Source organism: Homo sapiens, chromosome 1, assembly GCF_000001405.40.
Source record: "Homo sapiens chromosome 1, GRCh38.p14 Primary Assembly".
NCBI lineage: Eukaryota > Metazoa > Chordata > Mammalia > Primates > Hominidae > Homo > Homo sapiens.
In genome coordinates, this window is record NC_000001.11 from 177,783,211 (window position 1) to 177,797,637 (window position 14,427).

The 14,427-nt window shown below is 44.2% G+C and overlaps 1 annotated feature.

Moving 5' to 3' along the window:
* Nucleotides 11,198-11,949: an enhancer, noted in NCBI's record as "OCT4-NANOG hESC enhancer chr1:177763543-177764294 (GRCh37/hg19 assembly coordinates)". NCBI's record gives its function as "activates a minimal SCP1, AML or CMV promoter by ChIP-STARR-seq in naive H9 embryonic stem cells {active_cell/tissue: H9 hESC(naive)}" and the evidence as "EXISTENCE:reporter gene assay evidence [ECO:0000049][PMID:30033119]".

Genomic DNA, 14,427 nt, shown 5'->3' on the forward strand with positions numbered 1-14,427 from the left:
CCCCCCGCCCACCTCCAACCCTTAACCCCACCCTTCTCTCAGAGCTGCCCCCTGGCGTTGCACAGAACGAACCTCTTTTTTCCTCTCAGCTTTCTCTTCTCCAAACTAAGTAGCCCTCTGTTCCCCAAGATGCCCTCTTATGATATATTTTGCTGCCTCAACTCATATCTAAATAAAAACTACATCTACAAAAAAGACTTGAGATTTCATTGTTATGTGTAAACCCAGATGGCCACTGTGGATTAACTCTCTGAAGGACCAGGACTGTACTGGATGATTACTAAGTAGCCCCACTCTGCAGAAGGACTGCATGTTTGTGTGATATTTTCTGTTATCACAGGCTTGGGGCTGATTGGTGAACTATTTCATACTACCACAGCCCCTCTGAGGCAGACAGCCATGACCACAATTTATAGAGGAAGGTTTGAGGCATTTTCAACTCATCTCAAACCAAATGTAACAGTGCCTCCCCTCCCGTTCCCATTTCTGCTTGTGGCACCATTATTCTCTCAGTGAGCCCCATCCTGGAGACGTAGACCCAGCTTCAAAGGCTCCTTCTCCATCCTCACATACTTAGTAAGTTACCACTTCCATCCGTCTTCTACCTTTACCTTATCTCCTGCATCCACTGCTCTTTATTTTGACTGCCGCCATATATATCCGCCCAAGTCCTTCTCGTGTTCAGAAACATCTAATGATTTTCAAGTTGCCTAATTTAAAAAAAAATTTAGGCCTAGTCCTCAATTTTCTCCAAAACCTAGCTATATCCAGTCTTACTAGCAAAGTCTTCCAGGGCTCTCTGTATTGGTCAGGTTTTTACCAGGAACCAGATGGCACACACACTCAAGGATTCAACTACAAAGAACTCACTTATTGGGACTATTTAAAGGAACCATCAAGGGAAGGTAAAACTTGGAGGAACCAGCAACCAAGGAGAAGCCCTAACTGTCCCTAGGTCTGAAGCAGCAAAAGGTAGGAACCATGTCACTAGATTACCCCCATGACATCTGGAGCTAGAGGAACATGAGCCTAGACTGAAGTGTTGCTAGAGAACTGGAGCCTCCACTGGAACCTCAGCCAGCTGGGGATAGGGAGGAGGCCCATGAGAAGAAAGGGAATAAAGAACCCATCTCTCTTTATTCCCATCCTCTAATGGCTTGCCATCCCTCCTATTGTTCAATTCCAATAGGAAACCTCAGGACAAGGGGGCCCATGTGATCCAAACAGAGAAGTCAGCTTCCTGGGACACAGAGCAAGGATGAGAAAAGCAAAGAATAAAGCATAGACATAGTGAGCATCAGGAGAATAAACGCACATTTCATTGCTTGTACCCTATCTTCCATCAAAAGCATGAGCTCACTATTTCCTAATTACATACACAATTTCCTGATATTGTGCTTTGATTCACACCACCTCCTCTCTTTGGAATGCCCTTCCCTGCAGGGGAGACTTGCTTGGGGTCATTTGAGAGGCACTGAGGGTTATACATTCATTTAGAAGACTCTTATTGCATGCCTAATACACACAGATATATTTGGTAAAATGACAGAGGATAGAGGAAGAGGGCAGCTACTGCAGGCAAGTCCTCAAAGGTGGGGCTCATCACAAGGAGGGATGCTCAAAGGAATCCCTACAGGCCCTCAATATACTCTGTAAAAAAGGAGAAGCAGGCTCTGGAAATGAAAATATAGACCTGTGTGTGATGACGTCTTTCACTGGCAGCCGGAAGGCAAAGTCCATCTCTCTCAGCACCTCATATATCTCAGGTCAGGGGCTCACAGCAGGACCACTAGGGAAATTGGGGCTTCAGAGCCTGGGTGCTTTTAGGGAGAGCCCCTTACCCACTGTCAGCCTCCCAGGCCCCTTAAATTGATCCGTGGAACAGTAAGACTGGCTCCACACTTAACAATTCCTTTTAGAGTAAAGGGTTTCCTCCCTGCACAGTTCTTGCCTTTTGTCAAGGAAAATAAAAGAAGAATCAGCCTTGAGTGAATTCCTTGTAGCAGGATGTTTGCAGGCAGCAGATGCAGCTAGGAGCACACACAGCATATTTGTCTGAAACCTCTCCTGCTGCACAAAGGCAGGAGGCCATTGCCTCCATTGCATCAAGGTCACCCTGGGGGCTGGGGCTTGGTTATCAGTCTTCAGGGGGTCAGGGAAGCTTCATTTCCTTTCAAGGAGGGTAAGTGTGGCAAAATGGGGGGCACCCAGGCATTCTAGATGGATCTAGAGAACTGGTAATGCTCCTGCTATCCTGCAAGAGAATGCTTTCAAAGAGAAAAATCAGGAGTGCTCAGGAGGAATCTTCCCATTCATGAATTCAATGAACATTTGCACTTAGCCTGGCAAAGAGCGTCAACTGTGAGCAAAACTGAATGGGTTCAAATTCTATCTGCACTATGCAGACTTGGACAATTTGGGTATTCTCTCTGTGCCTCTCTGCTAGGAAGCCTAAATAAATTAACACATGTTAAGTGATTAGCACAGTACCTGGTACACAGTGATAGCTCTCAAGAAAAATCAGCTGTTTGGTTAATATGTACCAGTTGTGGTAGGCACAGGTAAACACAACACGTATCAGCCATCCTCTCAAAGAACTTGAATAACAAAGATAATCACTAACATTTGGAGCATTTACTAAACATTATGCATTGTTATAGCACTGACATGTATTGCTGTCATTTAATCCTCTCAATATCTCCTTTTTTTGATGAAGACGTTGGGGTGAAAGTTGGTTATGTAATTTACCCAAAATTATTCAACTGGTAAGGATTGAAAAGTAGCAATCAAGTAAATCAAAAGATGAATTCATAATTACAGATGGTGAGAAATGCTATGAAGAAAGTGAAAAACATGCAGTGATGGAGTGCCATGGAGGGTCCCACCAGAAAGTGTGTCCAGGGCAGCCCAAGCTAAGACCTGAAACAACAAAAGCAATCAGTCATGCAAAGGGCAAGGGGAAGGCATTCCAGGCAGAGGGAAGAGCACCATAAGAGGAGATGCAGAAGTGAGAAAGAGACCTGAGCACTCGAGAAACTGAAAGAAGACTAAAGTGTCTGGAATGCAGCCAATGAAGGAGAAAACGGTGACCGGAGTCTGGATTGGAAGGCAGAAGCCTGATCATGGCAAGACCTCACAGACCATTATAAAGACCTCAAATCTAAATGCAAAGGAAGCTGCTAGAGGGGTTAAAAAGTAAGGGAGTCACACGATCTGAATGTTTTCATGGAGTAAGCCTGGAATGAAAGTAGGGGGACCCTCAGAAGGCAGCTTTGATAGTATTTAGTGACTCGGACCAGAGACATGTCAAGCTCCTCATGGACAAGGAATGTGCCTTGTGACCCTTATAGAACAATGCGACCAGCACTCACATCCCCAGCCCAGGCTTGACACAGACACAAATAAGCTTTTTTGTGTTTTTCCATCATCACCATCATGGTCACTGCCATTGCCATCACTATCAAATCATGGGTCAAGGTCAGAGTGGTCCTGGGGTAGTCATGACTCCACTGAGGCCACCAGGCATTGGACCTCCTCTCTGGAATCTGCCATCAGAGCAATAGCCCAGTGCCTCAACCACAGTGCATTCGCAGACATCTAAAGAAACTGATATAAACAGCCCAGAAAAAGAGTCTGTACAAATAGCCCCATGCACTTATGGAAGGAGGAAGACTCAGAGCAATCATGGGAATTGCATGTTAGCTACAACTGACTATTTATTAAACTTCTGCCTGATTGCGAACCAGGAACAGTAAGTATCCACTGCCCCCTTCTCTCCATATCTGAATCCTTGATACACTCTTATGTAATACTGAGATACTTATTCATTCATTACACACCAAAAGTGATTGAGTTAACCTGCTGTACCTCCTGTACTGGGTGTTGGAGATATATTAAGACAAATAAAATACCAACTCTTCCCTCAAGGACCTCAAGGCTTCTTACCTAACAGGCAAGTAAAAGGGCAGTTATAATGCAATATGATTGCAGCCAGGAAAAGAGAAGTACCAGAAGATGTGGATGCCCTTAAAATGGACATTTAACCCAGAGTCAGGAGCAGATTCTCAGGGAGAGAAGGAGGGGGAGACATAAAGGAGGTAAAACAGCATGTACAAGATTGGAGAGCACTTCCGCGGCATTCAAGGGGCTGGGGGCACTCAGTGTGGCTCAAGCTCAACATCGAGGAGGTGAGAAGGAAACCCAAGGTGAACTCACATCAGGAAGAGCCTTTAGGTTATGCTAGGAAATTAGGATTTTTTCCAAATTCTCTGCAGAGCCATTAAATATCTTAAGGAAGTATACAATAGTCATATTTTCTTTTAGAAAATCCTGCTATGTGCAGCATGAAAAGCATCACAGAGAGGGAAGAACTGGAGGTGGGAAAGCCGGGGACAAGATTCTTGTAGGAATTCAGATAAGAAATAAAGAGGGTGGGAGCCAGGCAGAAGCAAAGAGGCTGGGGAAAAGGAGGAGGAACCAGCAAGGTAAGAGCAGAGTAGAGTCTACAGGAGATTTTGATCAATTGGATTTGGTGGGAAAAAGGGGGAAAAAAGAGGATTAAATTTTCCTCCCACGTATGGGAAATGAGGACATATTGCAAAAGGCCCTGTGTGCAAGCCTAGGGTGGGGCCTTGACATGGCAGACATGGGGAGACACTCAATGTTTTTGAATGAGGAAAGAACATGACCATTAATAAGATTAATGTGCCATTGATGTGTAAAATCCTGGTTGGAAGAGAGACACAGGAGGGGAGAAGACAAGGAAGGATGCTCTTGTGAAGCTCTGCCAAGTGTGAAGAACAAGGGCCTGAACTGGAGACGTGAACGTGGACACGAAAGCCAGGACATGGGAGGGAATGGCAAGCAAGCTTCTTAAAGGGAATGAGATTGAGAGCAGGGGTTGAAGCCTTAGCCTTGGCATGGAGGAAGGGCTCTTCATTCTCAGAAACAGAGCAAAGCAGAGGGAGGCAGAGACCATAGACAACTTCCAGGTGAAGAAGAACAAATATCTGCCCCAAGCTTCTCAGCGTCATCAGCAGCCATGAAGAGCCAGCTAAGAGTGAGTGGCATCCACTAAGCATTATATGGAAAGCAAATATTTAAATACATATCAAAAAAATGTTCAGACTGTATTAAGTTTTTTAAAAAAAGCAAATTACAAAAATGATATAGTTATTAGAATCCTGTTTGTTAGAAACATATGTGTATGTGGACAGGCAAGCTACACACCAGGATGTTAATGGAGGCTATCTCTGAGAAGGAGAGCTCTAGGTGATTTTTATTTTCTTCTAGATGCTTTTTGATATTTTCTACAATGAACAAGCATGACTTTTGTAATCAGAAACCCAGCAGAGTTTAAAATATATTTGTTAAGCTTATATAGCATGGCTGTCTCCCAGAATTGAAGTGAGGGACCTGTTTGTTAACTTCTTTTTTCCAGTACATTTATGGTTCTCGGGATGCAGAGTAACTCAAATGTTTCTAATGGGAAAAGCTGGAGGTGCATTTACAGCATACCCAGGAGGACCCTCACTGCTCACCAGAGGGTCTTCAGCCCCATTCCCCAGTACAGACGGTACTGGCTTCAGGTCTCACCTCCCAGGGAAACATGCCCAGCACAGCAAGCTCTGAGCCCCTCGCTTCTCCACCCCTCAAAACAAGCAGTGCTGCCTTTTGGTAGGAGGAAAAGGAGATGTGGAAAGCCTACAAAAAGCAGCACTGCCTCTCTTCTTTTTCTGCTCCCCCACCCCTGCCCAAGCCTTAACTACAAAAGTTCCACTGCTGGCAATCAACTCACTTCCCTTATCTTCCTGCTCCCAAATTCTCTCTTCCTCAAATTATTAAAAATGCCATTTAGTTTCAAATTCCTGGTAGGAACAGGGGACAGTGCTGAATAAAAGAACCCCTTTTTTTAAGGGGAAGGGAGTTGGGTGGGAGAGAATAAGGATGCAAATCAGAACCTGCCAGGTTTTGTTATCCCCACTAAGGCCACCTGTATTCACAAAGCTTCTTAAATATTCCTCATCACTACAGAGCTTTGGACCCCAGTCTCAAGTAGTTGCTTGCAGAGGATTTCCAAAGAAATGAAGGTTCAGGCCTTTTCAGCAGAATAAATTCTACCTGTTGTGGGTTGAGGATAATGATGTAGAAATAAACAGATGAAAAGGGGAAATCCCTGTAGGAAGTTCCTCTAGTCTGTGACGGATTTTCCCAGCAGCTTCTGGACACCAGGAGTGGGGATGCCTGGAGATTTTCCACATCCTTATAGATGACAAATAGCAACAATAAGGTCCAGTTCCCTTTGTCACTCAGCCTCACAGGTAGGTTAAAGGGAGGATGTCATCTCTTTTTACACTGCCCAATCCTCAAAAACAGAATTCTCAAAATTCAGAATCTCTCTGAATTTTCTGAGTTAATAAAATAAGACACAAAGAAGTTAAAAAAGGTGCCCCAGGTCACCCAGTATTTATTTTTTTTATTCATTACTAGATATTTATGAAGTCCCTCAGGCCCCAGGGATTCCATCCAGGTGCTATGCTGAGTGTTGGCATCAGAGCCCTACCCTCCAGGGCCTATCATCCAGTTATGACAGGGCTGTGACTTGAACCTAGGACCCCGACGCTGGTCTAGAACACTTTCCCCTCCAGCACATTCCATTTCTCAGTCTGATCTTCTCACTTCATGAAAAAAAAAATTAATTTTCTAAAGTCTTCCAAACATTTTATTTAAAATTTTTATTTACAAAAACAATTATTTCTAACTCCAAACATACAGCAGGAAGAGTGTCCTTAAATTCTAGGACAGCATTACCTTGAGCTTCTAAAAATAAATAAGCTACTTTTGTATTACTTAGGAGGAATCTTAAAATACCGTTGGGTCGGTGCAAAAGTTACTGTGGTTTTTGCCATTGAAAGTAATGGCAAAACCGCAATAACTTTTGCACCAACCTAATAGTAATAATGCCTTGGGTTTAGAATAACAGCTTTCTTCTGAAATGCTTAAAGAGCTTCTACTGATGGTATCTCATTTCTTCTCACAATGTTGCCAAGACTTTTAATGGAAGGTTCTATGAGGAAAAATGAGATACAGCATTTGAAACAATGATTAATGAAGACATTAGACTGCATGTTGGTTGCCTGATTTCCTGCCTGTCCATGGTTGTTTAGGTAAGAAGAGTAAAACAAGTATTTAGAGAATCATAGAAAGTTAGGGACAAAAAGGACAACAGATGTCATTTAGAGCAGCCTCATAATTTTACAGATGAGAAAACTGAGGCTATTCTGTGGAGCTGCCATCCCCCGTTCCCAAGTGGCTGCCCAATATCACATCCACCATCAAAATTCAGCCTATACTTGGTTGCTGGAAGACAGGCCACAGGAGAAGCCCTTTAAGTAATAAAAAACTGAAGTAAATGTCCAAGAGCTATGACAAACTGGGAAGAGGACTTAGGAAATGAAATAAGCTGAAAGAGCACAATGATTTGGGTACTGCATTCTGCTGACACCTTCACAATCAAAAATCAACAGGAAGAGGTCATCTTGACAGGGTTAACATGAGCTTGACTGCAAGGTCACCTCTGACAACAGTGGCCCAGGCCAAGGCTGAATGCAGTCAAAATAACAAGCCCCAGGAAGCCTTGAGGACCAGAGGAAAGCTTGCACTCTCTAAGGAGAATGTAGTGTAGCTAGTAAAAGAGAAAGGTTTTAAAATGAAACAAGAAAGAAAGAAAATGTCTGACCTGTTTTTATTCCCAGATTTGTATTTTTCCAAATCACATCAACCCAGGGCCATCATCTCGCACACATCCAGGGCTCCTCTCACATATGCAGCATGGTAGCCCCAACAAACATGGCCAAGGGCCGGGTGACCTTGGAGAGGATTCTCTCTACTTCCAGTGTGAATAAGAAACTCCCAGTGGAGGGTCAGTAATGAGGGCACAAGCAGGGAGAAGGGAGAGCCAGAGGGTATAGAGCGACTGGCTGGATGGACAGGGGGTCTCCAGGAGCTCAGATGATTGACTCATTTATCCATGGTAACAGCAAGAAAGGTAGCCCAGTTAATTTAAATCCTTGGCTATAGTTGAAACCCCACTGTAGCTGAAAGCCAGCCTTCCCATCCACCAAAATTTTTTTGGGGGGAGTGGGGACGGAGTTTTGGTCTTGTCAGCCAGGCTGGAGTACAATGGCACGATCTCGGCTCACTGCAACATCCGCCTCCTGGGTTCAAGTGATTTTCCTACCCCAGTCTCCCAAGTAGCTGGTGCCCGCCATCACACTCGGCTAATTTTGTATTTTTAATAGAGACGGGATTTCACCATGTTGGCCAGGCTGGTTTCAAATTCCTGTCCTCAAGTGATCCATCCACCTCAGCCTCCCAAAATGCTGGGATCACAGGCATGAGCCACCGTGCCCAGCCCCCAAATCTTTTAAAAAGAGCTGCTAATAAGGAACAGAGCTGAGTGGCTTAAATTTTCTTTCCCTTTACATTTCCTTTCTGGTAGAGGTGTTAATGAGGATGGAAAGGCCCCAAGTGCACAGAGAGAAAGGAGACAAAAATGGTCTGGATAATATGAACTGTGTAGTCAACCATCAAATAAGGGAGGGCTGATTCTATCATCAGTAAGTGACAAGCATCTACAGACAGTTTTAAAGAGCTTCTTTCTGCATAACCACGGATTGCATTGCAAGTGAGGGGAAGTGCTGAGTAACAAAGGAAGCCTGGCCTGGAAATCAGCGGACCCGGGTTGTGGTCCTGATTCCACATCCTCTCTGCACCCCAGTGACTTCACCTATATAACAGTAAGGTGGATGTGGCTACTTAAAGTACCAAATTCTAGGATATAAAGTCTCCAAAATTTGTAACATTGGATTCTCTATACCAAATGGTGATACAATCATACCTATTTTTCAGGGTCATTTTGAAGATTAAATTAAAAAAGGAAAATGGAAAAGGTAAATTTATGATGTGGCAATAAATGCAAGCACTTAATGTGCATTAAGTCATTTATTTCTATCAACAACCCTGCCAGATAGGAACTAATATGATCCTTATTTCACAGATAGTGATGCAGGATTTTTCTCGGCCACTTTGCCAACTGGAGACCTCCAGCTGGTGATGCTGCTGCCCAGGCCTCACTCAGCCCCCAATTCACTGCAGGAGATGCCCCACCTACTTGGCCTACTGGGCCATGACTTTCTTATGCTCTGGCATGGATCCTGTGGCCACTGCAACTGAGCACTTAGCCCCTGGGTGGATGGGGTGTGTGGGCAAGTGAGTGCAGGATCCAGCCAACTGCCCCAAGGGCCGGCACAGGAGCAGGCTCTGTGTGGAGCTTGCAGCTGGACCAGGCATGTTGCAAGTGACTCCCAAGGTGGACTCCGGTGTCCAGATGAGGGGAATGCAGTGGCACACAAACAGGGAAGCCTGCAACCCTGAAGCCTCAGAGGGGTGTTACAGTGTATTAATAGCTCTTTTAGTCCTGCTCTCTGCAGCCCAGTGGGCGGAAGTGTGCTAACAGCTCTGTCAGTCCCATCACCCTACTCTAGCCCACAGCTCTGAGGCTGGCTTAGCCCTGCTGCTGCCTCCCATCATGTGGGGTGGCTGCCCTCCACTGGTGGAGGGCCACGGTATTACGGCCTTCTTTGTACCCACATTTGGTGGGTCCTGAGTTCGTGTCCTGCATCCAAGAAGAATAAGGTTATGCTGACAAACAAAGGGTAAGGAGGGCAGATAAGAGTTTTATTGAGTAACAAAACAGCTCTCAGTGGAGAGGGGACATGAGGGTGGTCCCCCACCTGAAGTTGGGTGGTCTCTCTCTCAGAGTGGCTAGGTCCAGGGCTTTTATGGGCTCAGAATGGGGAGTACATGCTGATTGGTTTGTGAGTATGGAAAAGGCTAAAACAAAGATACTGATCAAAGGTGGGCACGTCAGTGTAAAAAAACATTTAGAGAATGGTAGGTATATGTAAAGTGGGTGAAGGGTGGGTATCAATCAGAGGAAAGCATGCCAAACAGAAAGAGAGGTTCTTAATCTGGTCCATGGATTTGACTTGTAGCTTGGCTTTCAGGCTTTCAACTGTCTTTGGTTTGAAGGTTGAGTTTCATCAGAGACCTGCCCCTGTCTGCCTCCTGCCACTATCACTAAGTGTGTTGAGGCTTGGAGAAGTTAGTGGACATGTCTAAGTCACACATAGACTAACTGTTGGAACTGGGACTCCAGAAAAATCTGTTTGAGCTCAAAGCCCATATTAAAATCCTTTATACAACACAGCCACTCCAATAATGTGTGTGTAGGTTTCTGGACCACAACAAATTATCAATAAATATTATAATCCCTAGACTTTCACCCACTCTGATGAAGTATTTTAATATATGTTTATTGAGTGGATGAATAAATGAGCAAATAAATTCTATGTAACATAAAGCTATAATACTGAGATCCTAGACTTCCATGGTATAGTAAGTCCAACTACTAAGGGGACTCAAGGGCAGCTGGCTTCTCAAAGACTTGGGAGTCAGAGTATCTGTATCTATCCAAAGATGAAAGTATGGAATAGTCTCAATAAGACACAGCAACCACATTACAGCACAGAAATGCCTACAATATACCTGGGGACTAGATTCTGGCTTTAACTGAATCTAAGGAAGAAAAAACCAGAGCAGGAAAACAAAATATCTTATTTACTGGCCTTTCCTTTCTCAATGAATTCAATAAATAAATAAGACTTGGAATTCTGATAAGGAGTTGTCCTATGTTTATATAGCCTTTAACTCCACACAGCCACGTGCAAGAGGGCCTCTTTAGAACAGGGGTGACATTTAAGGATGAGCTAATGAGCAGCATATGTGCTTGCACACTCACCATTGAGAGAAGACAGAAACAACAGCTGAGCAGGCCCCTTCCAGAGCTATCAATATAAACTTCACTCCCTACTCCCACCCCATAGTAATCCCAGACCTTGTGGTAATGAGAAGGGAAGGGGATTGTCTAAAAGAAAATAAGTGGGCTTCTTGGAAATAGGCATCTGTGCAAGCAGCAGCCCCTACCTCTCCCTTCTTCCTTTTTAAACCAGCTTCATCCCTCCCTGTCTTCTCTACTTCTATTGGCTAAGACCTGGGTTATGGGGTGCTAAATGTTCCTTTCTCAGTTCTCAGAACTCCCAAAACAACATACTGCGTTAATTCCAAGAGGTGAATTCTACTTCATCTACAGAACCAGCAAATGGTTTGAAAAACAAGAGACAGAAGAAAATAACATTAGAAGTTAATAAATCACTGGAGCATGAAAGGAAACTTCTCAAAATACACAGACAGACACAAGGGCAAAGGGAGGCAAGAACAAAGAGCAATGTGTGCTGTCCTCCAAGGCACAGAAGAAACAAAACGTGTTTCAAAGCTCAAGGAATGCGTTGTTCCAAATTGCTAATCAATGCTCTATACCAACACCAGCAACTGCTAATAACAAAGAAAGAATCACCTCACTTGAGCTGTAATTACTTCTGACATGGGTCTCCAGGAGGAGTGTCAAGACTCAGGTTAGCAGCTCAGTGTGATAATAACCCAAGATTACCAGAAATTCACAATGTCTGAAGAAAAGGAGAGCTTGCAGGAAAGGAAGTGGCAATTAGAAATACTTGTCATGGTAATTGCATTGTGAATAGCAGGCATCCACTTTTCAGCAGCCAATGTAGGTTTTCTTCTGCCTGACTTTAGAAAAACATCTTCCAGGCAGGTAGAGCAGTGGAGGAACACATCAAATTTCCAGAAATAACACAGTGTGGAAAAAGTATTATTTCTGTCCAAATAATGGTGTGCTGGATAATAAAAACTGTTGAATTCCATAAGGCTGAGAATAATAACACTTGACCAACCAGGGAAGTTGCCTTAAGCCAACCAGCAGCCACCTTTTCCTCTCACTCATAGCAGTGACTTCAATCTGTGTCAACATATTGTCTTCTGACAAGACTAAAATAGCTCTCTAAGAATAGTTGAGGCTCTTCAACTTTATTCTTCAATCACTCACTTTGTCAAAACTAGGTACATCCAAAGGTCTCCATGGTGGAGCTGGCTTGAACATATGAACTGAGAACTGGTCAACCAAAGTCTCTCAGATGCTAATCCCATAAGACATGTGGGAGTCCACTCATGGACTTCAATGAATGGGGCAGTGCTTCTCTTCTGTGCTCTTCAGCAAACCATGAAGAAACCAGGAAACTGCAGACATGTACTCAGAGTCTCCAATATTGCCTTAGAAACAGAGTTCTGCCTTAGCTCTAACACTGAATGATGATACAACTGCTATTAAACTTGGAGCTTGAATGAGCATTCTAAAAAGCAATTCTGATCATGTCAATCCCAGGCTTAAAATCTGCCAGTGATTTCCCATTGCTTCTTGGACAAGCTGTCGTCCCCTTAGTATGATTTCCTTAAGGTACAAGGCCCTCCATGATCTGGCTTCTCTTCATAGAAGTCTCATAACAGCCCTGATATGCTCACATCATGTTTTTAAACTCTAGTCAGTTAATCACAGATCTTCAGATGTGCCATGCTCTCCCAGCCTCCATACTCACATATGAGTTGTTTACTCTGAGAATCCCTTTCACTTAAGTAACGCTTAGGAATATTCCAGACTCAGGTCTGGAGTCACGTCCACTCTGAAGCCTTCCTTATTCCCACCCCTTACCCACTGCGGCCAAATCTGGCTTCAGGATCTCTTCCGTGGGCTCACTTTGCATCTAGCACACTCCTGTGTTACAGCTATCACACCCTATGCCACTTACTTGTCTATTTCTCCCACTAGACTGTGAGCAGTATGAGGGCCAAGGCTTGCCTTTTATTCCATTTTACCCTACACCAGTTATCATAAAGAGCTCATATGCCAAGCTCAAGTTGAATGGAATCCATAGATGAAGGAAGAAAGTTAAATTAGATAATGAAGGGGGAACACTTGGCACATTCAGAAGCAATTAAATCTTGTAATAGGTAATGACTTTGCCAACTCTAGGCATCAGAGGCTAAATCCTGAGTCAGAAAGTACCCTCTCTGGTCAGATATCTGTACTTTTACAATATTTAAAGAGTTTTTTAAGTTGGGAATTTATGAAGGTTAAAAAGAAGGATTTAAGGCCAGGCATGGTGGCTCACCCCCATAATCCCAGCACTTTGGGAGGCCAAGGTGAGTGGATCACCTGAGGTCAGGAGTTTGAGACCAACCTGGCCAACATGGTGAAACTCTGTCTCTACTAAAAATACAAAACATTAGCCAGGCTTGGTGGTGTGTGCCTGTAATCCCAGCTACTCCCGAGGCTGAGGCAGGAGAATCACTTGAACCCAGGAGGCGGAGATTGCAGTGAGCCAAGGTGGTTCCATTGCACTCCAGCCTGGGCAGCAAGAGCAAAACTCTGTCAAAAAAAAAAAAAAAAAGGGATTTAGTGAGCACTGAAACACTCTGGAGAGGCAGTGAATTCCGATGTCCCTCTCCTGTCCCTCTCTGAAGAATTGGTGGTTAACCCTGGGCCTGACTAGACCTTCTTCAGCAGGTCCCACATGGTTGTGGCTCTACGGCTTGGTTGGGGCTGGAATGCAGTTGAGAGTTAAAACTGACTCAGTTTCTAGGAAGGTGCTGTTCTCAGCTCTGCAAAATGCTGACTGTGCCTCTATAACCCTGTGGTACTAAACCCCCACCCTCAATTTCTGTGGTTTCTCTGAGTGGCAGATTCTCTGGGAAGGCTCAGTATTCTGGGAAAGGGTTGTTTTAGAGTCTATTTGGTAAAAAGAGTCTTTTTCTGCTCAGATTCAAACTTATTTGGACCACATTTGCATAATGACACATTATTTCTCCCTTAACACCAGTACACATCCCCTGGGCAAGGCAATTTGAGACTTGACATTTGTTTAATTACTTGATACCGGGTGATCTTGGCTAAGGCCAAAAAGGGCCTCGGTGAGGCCGGTGACACTCCCACCACATTTGCCAGATACGATCATTAGGAAATGATTTGCATGAGAAGAAAGTGCCCTACAATGAGAGAGGGTCGGGGCTCTTGTAGTGGAGAGATAAGGGAAGTAAAGAAATAGAGAGGATCCTATGTGCAAGAGATCCAGTTGGACCCTGCCTAATATAGGCAGGAGCCAAAGCAGAAGTGAAGGAGCTGTTTTCCCAAGGATATTTCTGATACTCAAGGCACAGCAATGCTGCACCAGAGTGCAGAGGACAAAATACAACCCTGATGCACTTTATTAGCACAGTAATGTCAGGAGAGTTTGCAGGTGAGAGCATCAGGAGACAGTACCCTAGTCAGGAAAGCAGCAGCAGGGTACCTCTCTCAAGTGCCTGTGGGTAAAAGACACAATCAGGAGGCTGGATCAGGAAAATACACATGAGAGAACCATTCTTGATCATTGAGGAGACACCCCCTAGGAATGCCCA